The 19,680-nt window shown below is 33.7% G+C and overlaps 1 protein-coding gene and 1 non-coding gene across 2 annotated transcripts in view; both read right to left on the bottom strand.

The window, feature by feature from the left end:
- Positions 1-6,445: 6,445 nt before the first annotated feature.
- On the bottom strand, positions 6,446-6,528 carry MIR588 (microRNA 588). The gene has a single exon (NR_030316.1). It is a non-coding gene; the product is annotated as a microRNA 588 (primary transcript).
- Positions 6,529-7,838: 1,310 nt separating this feature from the next.
- The window catches only part of CENPW (centromere protein W), a 143,206-nt gene continuing 131,364 nt past the window's right edge, over positions 7,839-19,680 (bottom strand). The window contains exon 4 of the transcript NR_104462.2: positions 7,839-10,581. The gene's annotated coding sequence lies outside the window, so the exon portion shown is untranslated. The remainder of the gene's footprint in view (positions 10,582-19,680) is intronic.

Raw genomic sequence — 19,680 nt, 5'->3', positions numbered from 1 at the left:
ATTTAAAGAATAACTGATATCAATCCTTCTCAAACTCTTCAAAAAATTGAAGGGGAGGGAATACTTCCAAATACATTTTTCAAGGTGAATATTACCCTGATATCAGAGACCAAAAAGAATATTACAAGAATGAAAAACTACATGCTATTAATTAACACACATGTAAAAATCCATAACTAAGTACTAGGAAACCAAATCCAACAGCACATTACGAGGATCATATACAACGATCTAGTGGGATTTGTTATTGGGATGCAGGGCTGCTTCAGCATATGAAAGTAAATGAAAGTGATAGATTAATAGAACTAAGACCAAAAACTATGTGATCATGCCATTAGATGTACATTTGACAAAATTTAACAGCATTTTATGATTTTAAAAAACTCAACAAGTTAGGTGTCATTGTGTACCTCAAAACAATAAAGGCTATATATGAGAAGATCACAGCTAACACGATACTCAATTGTGAAAAATTGAAAGCCTTTCCTCCAAGATCTGGAACAAGACAAGTATGCCCACTCTTGCCATTTCTATTCAACATACCATTGGAAGTCTTTGCCAGGGCAATTAGGCAAGAGAAATAAATAAAAAGCATGCAAATAAGCAAAAATTGTCACTGTTTTCTAATGATATACCCAAAATATTGTTTTCTAATGAAAACCCAAAATGCTTCACCAAAAAAAAAAAAAAGTTAGAACTATTCAACAAATTTTGAAATGTTGCAGGGTACAAAATCAACATGAAATAATCAATTGCATTTTTATACACTAACAATGATTTATCATAAAAAGAAAACAAGAGAACAATCCCATTTACAATAGCTACAATATAATAAAATACTTAGGAATAAATTTAACCAATGAGGTAAAAGACCTATACATGGAAAATCATAAAACATTGATGAGAAACATTGAAGATGACACAAATAAATAGAAAGATATCCCCTATTCATGGATTGGAAGAATTAATATTTTGTAAATGTCTATACAATACTACACAATGCAATCTGCAAATTCAATGTGATTCTTCTCAAATTTCCAATGTCACTTTTGAGACTAAGAGAAAGAAACAATACTAGAAAATTATAAAACATTGATGAGAGAAATTGAAGATGACACAAATACATAGAAAGATATCCCCTATTCATCCACTGGAAAATGTCTATGCAATAATATATAATGCAATCTACAAATTCAATGCAATTCTTCTAAAATTTCCAGTCTCACTTTTCAAATCAATAAAAAATACTAAAATTCATATAAAATTACACAAAAAATCCCTAATAGTCAAAGCAATTATGAGCAAAAAGAACAAAGTTGGAGGCATGACACTAGCTTATTGCAAACTACACTGCAAAACTATAGCAATTGAAACAGCATGATACTGGCATTAAAGTATCACATTGAGACTTTATTGAAACAGCATGATACTGGCATTGAAGTATCACATTGAGACACATTGAGAAATATACAGAATAAAGAGTGCAGAAATAAACCCACCCATAAGCTCAATTGATTTTTGTCAAAGATATCAAGAATACAAAGAAAAGAACAGTCTCTTCAATAAATGGCATTGGGACAACTGGATATCCACATGTAAAAGAATAAAATTGAACCCTTATCTCACACAATGTACAAAAATCAACCAAAAATAGATTAAGAATGTAAATTTAAGATCAGAAATTCTAAAACTACAAGACGAAAACAGAGAGAAAACTACACAATATTGGCCTAGGCAATAATATTTTTGTATTTGACCCCAAAACACAGGCAACAAAAGCAAAAATAGACACATGCAATTACATCAAATTTAAAAGCTTCTGCACAGACAAGGAAACAAGTAACAGTGTAAGGAGACAGACAACCTTCAAATTGGGAGAAAATACTTGCAGGCCATACATTCTATAAGGGGTTAGTATCTAAAACATATAAAGAACTTAACACAATAGCTACAAAACAACTCAATTTTTAAAAATAGGCAAAAGACTGAAACAGACATTTCTCAGAACAAATACAAACAGACAAGTATACATAAAAACTCCAACATAACCAATTATCAGGGAAATACAAATTAAATCCACAATGAGCTACCACCTCACACCTGTCAGAATAGCTATTATCAAAAATATGAAAAAGTGTAGGCAAGGATGTGGAGAAAAGAGAACCTTTGTACACTGTTTGTAGGAAGGTAAATTGCCATTATGGAAAACTGTATAAGGATTCCTCAAAAAACTGAAAACAGAAGTACCATATGACCCAGCAATCCCACTTCTGGGTATTTACCTGAAAGGTTTAGGATCAGCTGTCAGTTAGATGCAATGAATAAGATCTGCACTCTTACATTTATTGAAGCACTATTCACAACACCCAAGTCATGAAACCATGGTAAATATTCATTAACAGACGGATGGGTAAGAAAAATATGCTATATAGGCCGGGCGCGGTGGCTCACGCCTGTAATCCCAGCACTTTGGGAGGCCGAGGCTGGTGGATCACAAGGTCAAGAGATCAAGACCATCCTGGCTAACACGGTGAAACCCCGTCTCTACTAAAAATACAAAAATTAGCCAGGCGTGGTGGCGGGCGCCTGTAGTCCCAGCTACTTGGGAGGCTAAGGCAGGAGAATGGTGTGAACCCAGGAGGCGGAGCTTGCAGTGAGCCGAGATAGCGCCACTGCACTCCAGCCTGGGCGACAGAGCAAGACTCCGTCTCAAAAAGAAAAGAAAAAAAGAAAAATATGCTATATATACACAATGTAATAATATTCAGCCTTCAAAAAGAAGGGAATTCTGTCAGTTGCAACAATGTGATTGGAATCGGAAAACACTATGTTAAGTGAAATGAGACAGGCACAGAAAGACAAATACCATGGACACAGGGAGGGGAACAACACACACTGGGGCCTGTTTTGGGGTGGGGCCTAGGGGAGGGACAGCATTAGGAGAAATACCTAAGGTAGACGGCAGGTTGATGGGTGCAGCAAATGTAGATGCATTAGGAGAAATCCTACATTAGGAGAAATACGATGGCAGGTTGATGGGTGCCACCATGGCACGTGTATACCTATGTAAAAAACCTGCACGTTTTGCACATGTATCCCAGAACTTAAAGTATAATTTTTAAAAAGAAAAAAAAATCTTAAAAAAAGGTTTTCCTGTAGGAGTAGCCTTCTATAATTCATTGATTGTAATGTTAAATGTTCTATATTCATGCTTAATTGAAGAATCTGTTAATGTATCCATGCCAAAGAGCCAGAATTAAATTTTCCATAGAAAATGGCAAAAAAGATTCTCAATTATATGAGAAATTTAAAATAATAAAACTCATAGAAGACAGTATAGAATGGTAGTTCCAGAGGCTGAGACTAAGGGAAATAGGAAGATGATGGTCAATGAATACAAAGTTTCAGTTAAACAGAAAGAATAAACTTTATTATGAGAGGTACTGCACAGCATGCTTAATATAATTAATAATACTATATTCATATATGGTACATTTCACAATCGTTAAAGAGAGTACACTGAATATTCTAACAATGAAAAATGATAAGTATTTGAGGTAGTAGAAATGTTAATTATCTTGATGTAATTGTTTTACATTGTATTCATAAAACATAATATAAACTCATAAATCATAAAAACATTTTGTACCCCATAAACATATACAATAATAAAATAACGATTTACAATAAAACAAAAATTATATTTTTTATTTTTTTATTTTTGTGGGTACCCAGTTGGTATATAAATTTATGGGGTACATGATATATTCTGATACAGGCATATAATGCATAATAATCACATCAGGGTATATGAGGTACCCATTACCTCAAGCATTTTTTGTTTCTTTGTGTTACAAAAAAAATCCAATTATACTTTTTGAGTTGTTTTCAGATATACAGTAAATTATTGTTGACTGTAGTCATTTTGTTGTGCTATTAAACAATAGATCTTATCCATTGCATCTAACTATATTTTCATGCCCATTAACCATTCCCACATTCCCCCACCCCTCACCTTTGAACTACCCTTCCCAGCCTCTGATAACCATACTTTCAACCAGACTTCCATCTCCATGAATTCACTTGTTTTAATTTTAAGCTCCCACAAATAAGTAAGAACATGTGAAGTTTGTCTTTCTGTGTCTGGCTCATTTCACTTGACATACTGACATCCAGTCCCATCCATGTTGTTGCAAATGACAGGATATAATTCTTTTTTGTGGCTGAATAGTACCCCATTGTGTATATCTGCCACATTTTCTTTATCTATTCATTAGTTGGTGGACATTTAGGTTGCTCCCAATCTTTGCTATTATGAATAATGTTGCAATAAACATGAAAGTGCAAATATCTTTTTGATATATGGATTTCCTTCCTTTTGAGTATATACCCAGTAGTGGGACTGATGGATCATATGATAGCTGTATTTTTGGTTTTTGGAGGCACTTCTAAACTGTTCTCCATAGAGGTTGTACTAATTTACACTCTCGCCAACAGTATACAAGGGTTTCCTTTTCTCCACATCCTTACCTGTATTTATTACTGCCTGTCTTTCAGATATAAGCCATTTTAACTGAAGTGAGATGATATCTTTTGTCTGAGAAATTCTTTATTTCTCCTTCATGTTTTAAGGATATTTTCGCTAGTTATACTATTCCAGAATAAAGTTTATTTTTTTCCTTAAGCACTTTAAATATGTCATGCCATTGTCTCCTGGCCTGTAAGGTTTTCATTGAAAAGTCTGCTGCCACACATACTAGACCTCCATTGTATGTTATTTGTTTATTTTCTCTTGTTGCTTTTATGATACTTTCCTTATCTTTGACCATTGGAGTTTATTAAATATCTTGAAGTTTTCTTATTTGGGCTAAATCTGCTTCATGCTCCATAACTTCAATTACATGTGGAATTTAAAATAACTAAACTCATAGAAGAGAGTAGAAAATGGTAGTTACAGAGGCTGGGGGTAGGGGAAATAGGGGCATGATTGATTTCCTTGAATATTGGTATCTTTGTTTAGGTTTCTCTGTTATTATTCCTTTGAATAAATTTTCTATCCCTACCACTATTTCTATCTGCCCTATTAAGGCCAGTAACTCTTAGATTCGCCTTTTACAGGCTGTTTTCTAGATCCTGTAGGCATGCTTCATTTTTTTTATTATTTTTTCTTTTGGATCCTCTGTGCATTTTCATGTAGTCTGTCTTCAGGCTCACTCATTCTTTCTTCTGCTGGATCAATTCTGCTATTAGATACTCTGATGATTTCTTCAGTATGTCTATGGCATTTTTCAACTCCACAATTTCTGCTTACTTATTTTTAATTATTTCAATCTCTTTGTTAAACTTATCTGATAAGATTCTGAATTGCTTCTCTGTGTTACCCAAATTTCTTTGAGTTTTCTCAAAACAGCTATTTTGAATTTTCTGTCTGAAAAGTCCTCATATTGCTGTTTCTCCAGGATTTCTCCTTGGTGCCTTATTTGGTTCATTTGGTGAGTTCATGTTTTCCTGGATGATCTCTATGCTTGTGGATGTTTATTGGTGACTGGGCATTGAAGACTTAGGTATTTATTGTACTCTTCACAGTTTGGGCTTCTTTGCATCTATCCTTCTTGGGAAAGGTTTCCAAGCATTCAAAGAGTGTTGGGTGTTGTTATCTAAGTTTTTGGTCACTGCAGCCATATCTGCATTAGGCAGGGCTTTTCCTGTGGCTCTTGCAGACTTGTAGAGGTACTACCTTGGTAGTCTTGGTTAAAATCCAAAAGAATTCTCTGGATTCCCAAGCAGAGACTCTTGTTTTCTTCCCTCGCTTTCTCTCAAACAGAGTCTCTCTCTCTCTCTCTGTGCTGAGCTACCTGGTGCTGGGGGAGGGGGTGACACAAGCCTCTTTGTGGCCACCATCACTGGGGCTGCAATGGGTCAGATCTGAAGCCAGCACAGCACTGGGTCTCACCCAAAGCTCATGGTAACCACTGCCTAGTTACCATCTGTGTGTACTCAAGGCCCTAGAGCTCTACAATCAGCAGATGGTAAAGCCAGCCAGGCATTTGTCCTTTCCCTCAGGGCAGTGAGCTCCCCCAGCCCTGGGTGGGTCCAGAGATGCCAGCTGGGATCCAGGGCCTGAACTCAGAAACCTTAGGAATCTACCTGGTGCTCTATTCTATTGCAGCTGATCTGGCACCCAAGCCACAAGAGAAAGTCTTTCCCACTCTTGCCTATTTCTTCCACAAATAGAAGAGTCTCTCCCCTTGGCCACCACCAGCCCAGGCTTGCAGCAAGTACTTTCTGGTTACTGCTGATGTTCACCTAAGGCCCAAGGACACTCCAGTCAGCTTGTGGTGAATGCTGCCAGGCTGGTACTCTCCTTTTAAGGCAGTGGGCTCTCCGCTGGCCCAGGGCAGGTCTAGAAATTCCATCCAAGAGCTGAGGCCGGGAATTGGGACCCCTTAGGCCCAATTTTGGCCATGGTGGGTAAGAACACAATGGAATAGTGTTCTAACCCATTGTGGCCAAATTGGTACCTAAGCTGATTTTCGGTTCTCATGAAGGTGCTTTTTTATTTAAATAGTTGTTCAATTTGGTGTTCCTGTGGAGGGGACGACCAGCAGAGACTTCTATTTAGCCATCTTGCTCCATCTTCTCCCCTAAAAATTGTTTTTAAATGAAGGTACAATAAAGATATCTTTGAAAACAATGGCTGAGAAAATTCTTCACCACAGACCTGTGCTAAGGAAATAAAAACTAGGTCTTTCAGCTAAAAAGAAAAGGGTCCCAGTTACAAGCAAGAAGATGTAATAAGAATTGAAGTAAATATTTTGGGCAAGAAAGAATATTGATAATTATTGATCTAATCTTTCATTTCAAAAAGCTAGTGGCAGAAGAGCAAGTACAAAGAAAGTAGATGAAAAACAGATAATCAATATAGCCCCAAAAGTCAATTCACTAGAAAATAGGCACACAAAAAAAATAACAAAAGCAAAAACTTTAAAAATATTATTGTGATATATTAATATATTAACATTATATATAACTACAGGTCCTACAGAATTTAGAAGAAAATAAAGGACATTACTAACACTTTGATGCTGGTAATTTGGAAAAAAAGGACAAATTACTTGAAAAACCACAAGTAATAATTCACAAAAATAAAAAATATGAACACTCCAATATCTACTAAAAACATGTAATTTTAAGCTTTTCTTACAAAGAAATCTTTAGACCTAGATGACATCTCTGGAAAATTCTTTCAAACATGTAATGAAGAGAAAAAAATACATTCTAACAAAAAATTATCCAGAAAACAGAAAACAGAGGGAAAAATTTCTTAATTTACGAGGCCAGCATAACCCTGATGCCCAAACCTTACAATAACAATGTAGGACTGGAAAAGTATAGCCCAATATATTTCATTAATCTAGATGGAAAAATCCTACCCAAAATATTATCAAATTCCACCTAGTAGTGTATTTAAAAATCATAGGTTTTATATAAAACTAATTGGAGTTTTTGCCAGGATTGGAAGTTTGGTTTAATATTTTAAAAATCAATCAGTGTAATTCATCAAATTAGAAAAAATAGAAAAACTTTATGAATATTTCAAAGGAATGTGGAAAAAAGCATTTAGTAAAATTTTACATCTGTTAATAAAAGAGAAAACCCATTTGATGATTTTAGTATATTCAATAAAAAAGCTCTTAATAAGATTCTACACTTGTTCATGATTTGTTTAATTCAGTAAGTTAGGAACAGGAGTGTATTTTCCTAATCTGATAAAGAGGTCTACTAAAAATATATAGTTAATGGTAAAGTTTTAATGCAATTGAACAAGGATAAGGAAATAATATCAATTATCAGCACTTTTATTCAACATTTCACTGGAGTTTCAAAGCAGTTCAATAAAGCCAGAAAAAAATATAAATTTTCTGCAGAAAATTTACAAGAATCTACAAAAAAATTAAAAATAAGAAAATTTACAAATAAATGTTTCCAATAATCAGTCACCTCCATTTCTTTATACTAGAAATAACTGAAAAATGAAATTTAATTAAAAAGCAAAATCATTTATAATAACATCTAAAAGGGTCCACTACCTAGGATCACATATATAGAAACATTGCAAGGCTTTTTCCTTAAGGACCATAAAACATTGGTGAGAAAAATTAATATCAAAATAACTAAATAGATATACTCTGTATATTGACTGAAAGACACAATATTGATAAAATGCCAATCTCCCTCAAATCAACATAATCTCTATCCAAATCCCAGCCTGTTATTTTGTGCAAATTGACAGTTTTATTCTAAAATGTACATAGAAATGCAAGGACTTTATATAGTCAAGAAAATATTACAGAAGAAAAACTAAACAGGAAAACTTATACTACCAAATATCAAAGCTTTTATAAGGCTAAAAATAATTAAGATGGTGAGGAAATAATACAACAAAAGGTAAACAAATGAAACAAATTAGAGAGTTCAGAAATACACTCACTCAAAAATACTTAGCTGGTTTTGATAAAACACTATTGCAATTCAATGTATAAAGGATGTCTTTTTGATAAGTGGTTCTGGGTCAATTGGCTATCCATATAAAAATAAATTAACCTAAATCCATACATAATATCATGTATAAAAATCTTATATTTAAGGACCATCAAAACCTAAATGTGAAATATAAAACAAGACTTTCATAGGAAAATATAGAACATTATTGTCATGATGGGTGCCTCTTTCTTAAACAGTATATAAATAGCACTTACCATAAAAGATTGAAATATTAAACTTTTATTATATCTATCTGACAAAATAATAATATTAATATATGTAATGCTTATAAACCAGGTATTATACTTGCTGGAAGGAAAATTGTACTTGCTGGAAAGCACTTATCTGGCTTTAGAACATATTTTATTAAGCAGACCATATTTACTCTCAGAAATGTTGCACTGGGAAAATCAAACTTGATCAAACAGCCCAAGAAAATGATGATATCCAGTAAAATTAAGAAACCCAGCACAAACAGTGTCTATACTCTGAAATAAAAATTCTCTACCACAAAAGAAGTTATTCCTGAATTCTAGAGCATTTCCTCTAGCATTTTGGGATGTTTTTGATGAGTATGGAAAATAAATACAACACAAAGAAAAATGGGCAAAAGGCTTCAAAAATGAACTTCACAAAGTAATATATCCAAATGATCAATAAGCATGTGGAAATAAGTTCAATATCATTTGTTATCTAATTTTTAGTCATTAATGCAAAGTAATACCAAATTTAATATCACTACATATTCATTATGGTGCTAAAATTAAAATAATTGACTATACCAAGTATAGTAAGATTGAATGAACAATTAGATCTCACAAATGATTCTGGTGGGTGTTTAAAATGGGTACATTCACTTGGAAAACTGGCGTTTTTATAGCAAACATGTATGCTATGGTTTAAATATCCCTTCCAAAACTCATGTTGAAATGTAATTGCTACTGCGACAGCATTAAGAGTGGGACCTTCAAGAGGTGATTGAGTTATAAGGACTCTGCCCACATGAATACATTAAGGCCATTATTGTGGGATTGGGTTAATTATTGCTGGAGGGGGTTGCTGATAAAAAGATGAAGTTCAGCTCTCATTCTCTCTGTCACAAGCATGCTTCCTTGCCATGTGATGCTTTCCACCATATAGGACACAGCAAGAAGGATTTCACTAGATGCAGCCCCTTGATCTTGGACAATCTCCAGAACTCTGAGGGAAATAAATCTCTTTTCTTTATACATTACCCAGTCTACAGTATTATGTTATAGAAGCAGAAAACAAACTAAAACAATATGCCTATCAAAAGATCCAGAAATTACATTCTAAGTATGCACCCCAAAAAAAAAATTGCTTAGTTATATCCACTACACAATCAAAAGTATTCAACAGTCCAAAATTCCATGTAATCTGAAGCTCAGGTAATCTGAAACTAGATATTCAATAAAATATATTCTACCAAATATGAAGAGACGACAAGAGGAGAAGCAAACAAGAAAGAAATATAGTAGTGAACTGATGAAATAAATTAGTTATAATTTATTATGGCCAAAGTTCATTACACATATCCTTAATACATATATGTAGGATTAGTGCAAACTGAAGCTGATTCCATTTGCCCATTGATCTTATTACAAAGCTATGTGTGGTAGTTGAGATTTTTGGCATTTTATTTTCCCTGGGGTAAAAAAATTTAGAATATAATGTTTTAGAATATAAATGTTTTACCTCTGGTAAAATATAACATATTGAATGTTAATGTGCTTACTGGAAGGCATTTATCTAGCTTTAGAAAGTATTTAATTGAGCAGAACATATTTGCTCTCAGAAATGTTGCACTGAGAAAATCTAACAGTCCAAGAAAATTATAATATCCAGTAAAATTAAGAGACCCAGCACAAGCAGTGTCTATACTCTGAAATAAAAATTTTCTACCACAAAAGAGTCATTCCTTAATTCCACGGCATTTCCTCCAGCATTTTGGGATGTTTTTAATGAGTACTTGCATAGTGTTCATCTTCCCATTCATTTTGTGGTATTTGAGGTGACCTGTCAATAACAAATTAAATATATTACGATTCTAAAAAGCTCAGCATTTCTTAGATTTCCAACTAACTCTTGGTGTATTATTTATAGCTGCACTGTCAATCAAATTAATGATCTCCAAGTAGACTAGAAGTCATAAAGTAAGTGAAATGAAGATATCAGGTAATTTGTCCATGGCCACCCACAGAGTTCATTTTCAAAGCCAGCATTGGTTAAGAAACTTTCCTTATTCTCTGTCCCATGTTCATAGACCACAACACCATGCCTCATAACCCAAAATGATGAAATTAAGTATTGCAAAGTAAAATAACATTTTTTATTTCTCCTAACCCTTTCCTTGACCCTCTGGAATTTCTTATATTAACATTATTCCTATTTCATTTCTCTGTGTGTGTGTGCGTAGAAAAAAAGACTTTAAAAAACAAAGTTAAATAATAAGCTATGTATTTTTGCCCAATTTTTGTATTATAAATATGGCAAGGGGAAGTAGGAGGATGGGAAAAGGACTATAACATGCACTAAACCTTATACAGTTGGGTTGGGCCTCAGGTTCACACCCATGTCCTCCATGCATGGTGGAAGGTCAGTTTGGTCAGAAGAGTACTTATTTTTAAGACATGGAAAGCCATATATTAAGTGGTTGTGTAAGCAGTTAGGAAAAGCATTGGGAAAATGTTTCCAGAATCTTAAGAAAAAAAAGAGTAAAAGCAAAATAAAATGATAGAATCTGCAAGATACCTCTTAAAATTATAGTGTTCTCATATAACAAGTGGAAGGTTATAAATAAAATGATAGAATCTGCAAGATACCTCTTAAAATTATAGTGTTCTCATATAACAAGTGGAAGGTTATATATTATAGCAAAAACTGAGAGAAATTAAAGATCCAAATGTAAACGCTTCCTTGCTAAAAAGAAAATTAATCTAGAAAATGGGATTTGAAAATATATGTGAAAGACATCTGTGATCCCTTACTTCCCACACCACCAGCTTTTCTTAATATGCTGAAGAATATTCAGGAAAAAGATGCATTTTCAAGAAACATAGACTATGAATCTGAAGGGAGAAGAAAATCCAGAATGTGTCCCTCAAGTCTTGTTTTGTTTTGAATGAACTGTATGGTCTACTGCTGGGAGGGGGAATTTGATGGAAAGAAGGTGAAGATGATCTCACTTTTAATGAGGGTGGAATCAAGGTACTCATAGAATACTCAGGAGGTGATGTACAGCAAGTAGGTAAATTTGAGGGTCTGGAGCTCAGGACAGAGATCTGAGTTGTAGATAAAAATGTATAAGATATTTGTTTATAGGAAGTATCTAATAACATAGAGCAGAATGAGTTTGCCAGGCTAGGAGGCCAAGTGGAAATAAAAATGGATTAAAAACATAGAGCCCTGGGACAATAGCCTTTAAAGGAAAGCAATGAAAGAACAGACTATAGTTCCCTAGGAAGAAGAACCCAGAGAAGAAAGAGATAAAACCAAGTAATGTGCCACATAAACCGAAGGAGGATTGCTCAAAGAAGGAGAAAAGAATAAATTTTGTGTAGCAGGGCTGGGACTCAAATGTATGCAGGACTCTCTGAGGAGTCTGGTAGGAGGTATATGAGAAGGTTTATCCAAGGGCTTTGGCCAAAGAGGCCTTTCTTCACAAATGAATCCTATCAAGAGACAGGCAGCTACAGAAGCCAAAGTTTTCTTCATTAGGAACTCTGAAACAGGAGAACTCAGTTGTTTCTTTTCGTGTCCAGATAAGAGAGTAAGAAAGAGCCAAGAGGATTCTCCTACTCCTTCACACATCACAGCATAGCTGTGAGCCATCATTTTTAGCAGTTCCAGTGTTCTGGGATATTTGGGACTATCACCTTCCTACAGATATCAAGGGCCTAAGAAGGACACCAGTAGCAGTGAGTAGTAGGTAGGTGAGTCAAATCTCTTCAAAATGCAAATAAAGAAACATAACTGCAGCCAGTTTAAGCAAATATGGGCTTTGTCACTGACAAAACTGGGATGGACAGAAAAGGATTCAGGGACAAATACTCTGTCCAGAGCACATTTTTTACTCTCTCTACAATTCTAGTTTCAGCTTTCTCTATGTGTTGGCTTCATTCTGTTGATCTGCAAATGGCTTTCTTTATACACACGCCCACAGAGAGAGAGAGAGAGAGAGAGATAAAGAGAGACTTCTATTTGGAGGGAGTGGTGACAGATGACTGCTGGCAGACCTAGAATTTTTTTCCAGCTTAGTGGGCTGGAGGAAAAATGAAGTGCTTGTCTTTTTGCTTCATTATTTAAAAATCTCAAAGAAAACACCAATTCACTCAGATTGGCCACTTCTTAGACCAATCACTGTGATTGTCTGACTGGGTAAACTCAACTCCCAAAGTCAATTAAGTCAGGGAGAAGCTATTCCACCAAAGAAATAGCTTTGGTGTAATCAGAATAAGGAAGAAGAAATCCTGTATAAAATGTATAAAAATAAAATACAGATTATTCTTATGAATTTGACCAATTGGCATCCACAGTCTGGTGAAGCCAGAGGAAGTTGGATCTCAAGAGTTAAGTACTACTTAGGTCAAGTTAGGCAAGAATAAGAATTGAAAAGAGCTGGTAGAATCCAGCAATTAATGATCACTGTTCATCTGCAGATGAAGCAGTTTCAAGTCATGGCAGAAGCAAAAGACGGTTGGCAATAAGAGGAGTAAACTGGTGGTGAGGAAGTGAAAACAACACTAGACAGGACATGTTCTAGAACCTAGAAGCTTAGCTATGAAAGAAAAGAAAGCAAAAATAATGTGCAAGATAGCAAGACAATTTGCTGAAATTTGGGGGAATTTTAAAAAGTTATCACTTAAAAGTTAATTAAACTACCTGCCATCTTACTATCACACAGTTATTTTCTTCACATAATTCAAACTTTTACTCTTTGGGTTTCAGGGTTCATTAGACTTTGCTCAAATCCTACATGCACAAAATTGAGTAAGTCATTTGAGCTCTTTGAGTCTGTTCCTTTATTTGTAAAGTAGAATAGTGCTTATCACAGAGTATGTGAGAATTAAATGAGATTAATACATTATTTGCTGGCAGAGATCTCTTAAAAATGGTTGGTTCAACGAGCTATTATACATTTTCTCAGGTGAATGTAATTGTCATCAGTTCAGAAGCTAAAATTAAAGCATTAAAAAAACCTGTTAGAATTTCATTTGTTCAAGCTCTTTTTACATTTGTTCTCATGCCAATCTCTTTTGGTTGTAATGATTTACAGTTCTGCCATGTTATTAATGTTAATAGTTATCATCGATCTAGTTTTCAATCCTATCAGTGATACTATTAGGAAGTAAGCAAACTATATATTGACATTGTACTCTCTTAATAGGCAACTGGTGTTTCTTCAACAATATGTTGGAGACAGAGGATGTTAGCAAAATTAAGGTTAATGTAGAAAATATGATCCAAACTATTAACGGTAGACTTGAATTTTCTCTGAATCCCAATATGGTGTTATCCTCATGTTTTGAATGTGGTAATATTAATTTCTTCAGCTTTTATTTCTCTAATAAACTTAGATTTGTTTTTTAATGAAGTATATTTCCTTTACTCATTTACTATATAGGGAGAATTAAGCTAGAACAGTCACCCATTTAAACTGGTAAGGCTCAGTTTACATTCTTTAACCCATCTGGTGTTAGACATTAACCCATCTGGTTTTAGACATTAACCCATCTGGTTTTAGACACTTACACAATTCTTCTCTTTATGATCACACAGGTAGATATAGAAGGACAGCTACAATCAACCTCTCAGAGCATCTGTCTTTATAAATGGGAAACGATTATCTAATTTGTGATATATCTCCTTAAAAAAAGGTTCATATGCACTGATATTCTCTCATACTGAGATATTTTAAGTGTTAAAATGAGTTAGCAAACAGATGGGAAGCCTTACAATCCCGTATCAGAATTACAAGGTCTTTGGGAATAGAAATAGGGTTCTAACAAAAGCCATTTTGTAATACTCAACACATAATGTGACTCCTCTAGTAAAAGGACATTCAAACTGTATTTTCATTGCAGGTTTAACTTTATGAAATCAAACACACAGTAATAAAGTATTATCTTCAGATGAGCCACACTAAAGATGTTGAAAAGATTTTCAACATGATTTTCTCATGATTTTCAGTCAAAATGAAATTTTAGAAAATTGATCACTAATACTTAAAAATTTTTCAGTAGAAAGCTAGAGGGCATACTAATCTTCGTCATGTTTAAATTCTTCCAAATTAATATTTTAAGAAAAAGTAAAAATAGGAAAATCATCACAAAATGTAATCTTTGAGCTTCAACTGACCACAACACACAAAACAATGAAACAACCACAAAACTATCTTCTAGCTAATATCCAACTGTCCTGCTGGGTGACCTGAACATAATTCTACTAGGTAGAAAGAGTGGAGGCTATGAGGGGAAAAACTTAATCACCTGATTTTTTTTTTTTTCTATAGGAAAACTAGAAAAATGTACTGGCAGTCTGGTAGAAAGAGTGGAGGAATTAGAGTCAGGGATTTGAGTTCTACTACTACTACTAGCTGTAGCATTAATTCACTATAAGTGGCCTTCAATAGCTCTAACGTGACACAGACAGTTTCCCCAACTGAAAAATTAGGGCGTTAGTGGCAACTCGATAATTTCTAAGGTCTTTTTTAGCTCTGGCATTCCATGTATAAAGATGCCGAACCTATCAAGAGTGGTGTAAACTGAAGAATGCATAAGCAACCTCAGATATTATAAACACATATATAATAACAGTATTTTTCAGTGTTTTCAAAGACCCTATGTCAATGTTTACATATATTATTATAAATGTTTAAAGTATTTGCAGAGTAGTTTTCATCATCCACATTTACAAATGAGGAAATGTAAACATAAGAAAGGTTAAGTGACTTAACAGAGATGACTGCTAAGTAGCAAAACCAGGCTTTAAACTTGATACTCCTAGATGCAAAGCCATTGTTCTTTTCAACAAACCAAATATTTTACCTAGGTTATAGTTTGTTTATAAGGCCTAACTAAAAATGAATATTCTTGCCTTCATATTTTGAGAAAATGAAAATGAACTGCAATTCACAAATTCATATAACCTTTCATTTTTACAATTTTTTATTTAAAAATTTTTTTTAAAAAAATTTGTATCTATTTATGGGGCACAAGAGATGTTTTGATAAAGTCATGAAATGTGAAATCATGAAGAATGGGGTATTCATCCCCTCAAACACTTATGAGTTACAAATAATCCACTATCCACACTGTTTACAATAGCTAAGATTTGGAAGCAACATTTTATTTCTTGATATAAAATCCCCTGGTAATAATTGTAACTAATATAAAGGTGGGTGTCTACATAATTGGTTATTATTAGGGTGACACTCAAGTTTTGAATTTTCAAAACATGTTAAAATAAATTTAAGTTAGAAATAAAAATAAGAAATTTTAAAGATCTTTAAATTCAGAATATTTAATATTTTTTTCAGAAACAAAAGTTTAAAAGAGCTAACTGGTGGCTGCTGCAAAGTATTTACCTTCCACATGCCACATGTAATGTGATTATGAGCCTTGTGAACATACACACTGGTGTAATACAACCTTTCTTTTCATAGCAGGCACCTAAAATCTGCTTTCATATGTAGCAAAGTAAAATTTATGGAACTGGATGATGCAGTGGCTTTATTTCAAACTAGTTTATTTTATTGGCAAAAACTAATAAAATCTTCAATGGATTCCACAGTTACTTTTAGAAATCTTGATGTTCCACCCTAGGATAGAGATCACAGGTGAGTTGAGTGTAAAACCAGTGAATAAGAGGAAATAGATCTGGTGTGCTGAAGGGTAATGATATTGTTTGCATATGATTTACATTATAAAGTGTTTGCTTCAAAGGGTGATAAAATATTCTGGCCAATTTAAGAATGATAGTGGCTTACAGCAGAAGCAGAACCTAGGAGAGATAATTGTCATAGCAGACAAAAGATGAAAACTTTCCACTGGCCCTAATAACTCTTTTGGGAACTACCTGTTATTAAAATATTCTAAACCTCTTTGCTCTTGGTCACATATAAGCAAACCTCCACGTCCTTAGGAATATGAAAGAACCTCAGGTCACAGTGTGGGTGCCTGGTAATTGGTTCAAGCCCTCTCTAAATTTCTGACCCTTTAAACCCACAAGGTTTACATGGGGAAAATTATATTATTCTGAATCCTTAGCAAGAAATGTAAAAACAAAACAAAACAAAAAAACAAGAGCTTTACTGTTTGGGCTAGAACTTCCAGTACCATGCTGAATAAAAGTAATGGAAATGGGCATCTTTGCCTTGTTCCCAATCTTTACAGGAAAAGCTATCAGTTTTTCACCGCTGAGTATAATGTCAGCTGTGGGCTTTTCATATATGAAAAGATATATATACATATATATACACACATATATATGTGTATCTCTCTCTATATATATATGAAATATATTCTACTCTCATTGTGCCCTCAGTAGAATGACTAAAATGATAAAAGACCATATATACATAGAATATATATATTCTATATATTCTATATATATTCTGTATATTCTATATATATTCTGTATATATTCTATACATTCTATATATATTCTATATCTATGCTATGCATATATTCTATATATCTATGCTGTGCATATATATTCTATATATCTATGCTGTGCATATATATTCTATATATCTATGCTGTGCATATATATTCTATATATCTATGCTGTGCATATATATTCTATATATCTATGCTGTGCATATATATTCTATATATATATGCTAGAGAGAGAGAGAGAGAGAGAGAGAGAGATTCACTCTCGTCCAGACTGGAGTGTGGTGGTGTGACCTTGGCTCGCTGCAACCTCCGCCTCCCAAGCTCAAGCGAATCTCTTGCCTCAGCCTCCAAAGTAGCTGGAATTAAAAGCATGTGCCACTGCCACCCAGCTAATTTTTTTTATTTTTAGTGGAGACAGGTTTCACCATGTTGGCCAGGCTGGTCTTGAACTCCTGACCACAGATGATCCACCTGCCTCCGCCTCCCAAAGCGCTGAGATTACCGGAATGAGTCACTGTGCCCGGCCTATAAAGATATTTCTAAATAGCATGGGTTAAAGAGGAAAAAAGTTAAGATAAAAATACTTAGAATTCTATAATTTAAAAGCCATATATCAAATTCACTATGGAAGAAAGTTTGCCAATTTTTTATAGAGCTAAACATAGTTTTACTATGCAATCCAGCAATCTCATTCCTAGGTATTTACTTAAGAGATTCAAAAACTTACATCCACCAAAACAAAAAGGCCTACATGTGAACATTTATAGATGTTTTATTTGTAATTCCCAAAAGCTGGAAACAACCAAGATGTCCTTCAGTAGGTGAATGAATATGCAAACTTTGGCTTAACCATACAATGAAATACTATTTAACAATAATAATAAATGAGCTATCAAGCTATGAAAAGGCACAGAGAAATCTCTAATGCATAATGCTTAAGTGAAAGAAGCCAATCTGAAAAGGAGGCATATTACAGTATTTTAATTATATGTCTAATAATGTTGAGCATCTTTCTTGTGTTTATTTGCCATTAGCATATTCTATTAGATAAAAATTCTCCACACATCTTTGGTTGACTTTTTTAAAGTTAAGGATATAGAAATTAAAATCATGAAGAGATAACATTGTACCCCTAGTAGAATGACTAAAATGATAAAAGACTGATCTTACCAAGTGTTGGCAAGGATGTGGAGGAACTGTAACTCTCATATGCTGAACAGCTGTAAAATGGCAAAATATTTGGCAAACAGCCTGTCAGTTTCTTATAGACTTAAATGTGCACTTACCATATAGTCTACTCATTCTACTCCTATGTATTTATCAAAGAGAAAAGGAAATCTATGTCTATACAAAGTGCTCATAGCAGTTTTATTTCTAACAGGCCCAAACTGGAAACAATCCAGATGTCCCTCAACACATGAATGGATAAGCAGATTTTGGCATTTCTATGCAATGGAAAGCTACTTATTAATTAAAAGGAATGAACTATTGATACATGCACCAGCATGGGTAAGTCACAATTCATTATGCAGAGTAAAAGAAGCCAGAAAAAGAAAGAGTACATACTATATGATTCCATTCATATAAACCTGTGGAAAATGCAATTTCATCTACAGTGACAGAAGGCAAATCAGTAGTAGCTGGTATGGTTGGGCCAGAGCAGAGAGAATTCCAAACAGGCATAAGAAAGTTTAGGGTGGTGAGGAATATTTACATTTCTTGATTATGTATTGTGGTTTTCATGGGTGTATACATATGCTAAAACTTATCAATTTTTATACAATAATTATATGCAATTTCATGTAAGCCAATTGTAACATACTAAAGAGCTTTAAAAATATACCAGGGAAAAAGGAAGGTTAAATAATATTGGCGAAGCTTATAATTATTGAAGCTTTATGATAGGTTCACAGGTTTCATCATATTATCTCCCTTTGTGCACATTTGAAAAAATTTTACTATTAATAGTTATTTTAAAATGAGCTTTTGTTGAAATATATAAAGAAATTGAAAAACCTAGCAAAGAGATTTATAGCCCAATAACTGACATTAGATTCATGTGCAAAATATATTTATATTCCAACTTACACAGATAAAAACATTGCTCAACTTGAACACACCCATGTGATGAGCACTCCCAGATCAAGCAACAGAACATTACCAAACCATCATAGGTCCCATTCTTGCTTCCTTCTAATTATTGCACCCTTTCCCCATGCTTTAGTTTTGCCTATTGAACAATATATAAATAAATCACATGGGATGTACCTTTTTGTATATCTGGTTTTTTCTACCAACTTTATATTTCTGAGATTCATCATATTTTTATGATTAGTTCTAGACTGTTTATTTTGATTACTGTGATGTTTTCAATGGTGAGAATATATATTTATCCATTCCAGTGTTGATGAACATTTTGGTTGTTTTCAATTTTTGGCCATTTAAAATAGTGCTGCTATGTACATTTTGATACATATATTTTGATGACTAAATGTAT

This window comes from Homo sapiens, chromosome 6, assembly GCF_000001405.40.
Source record: "Homo sapiens chromosome 6, GRCh38.p14 Primary Assembly".
NCBI lineage: Eukaryota > Metazoa > Chordata > Mammalia > Primates > Hominidae > Homo > Homo sapiens.
The sequence above is the reverse complement of the archived record's forward strand: the minus strand, read 5'-3'. Positions and strand labels throughout refer to the sequence as shown.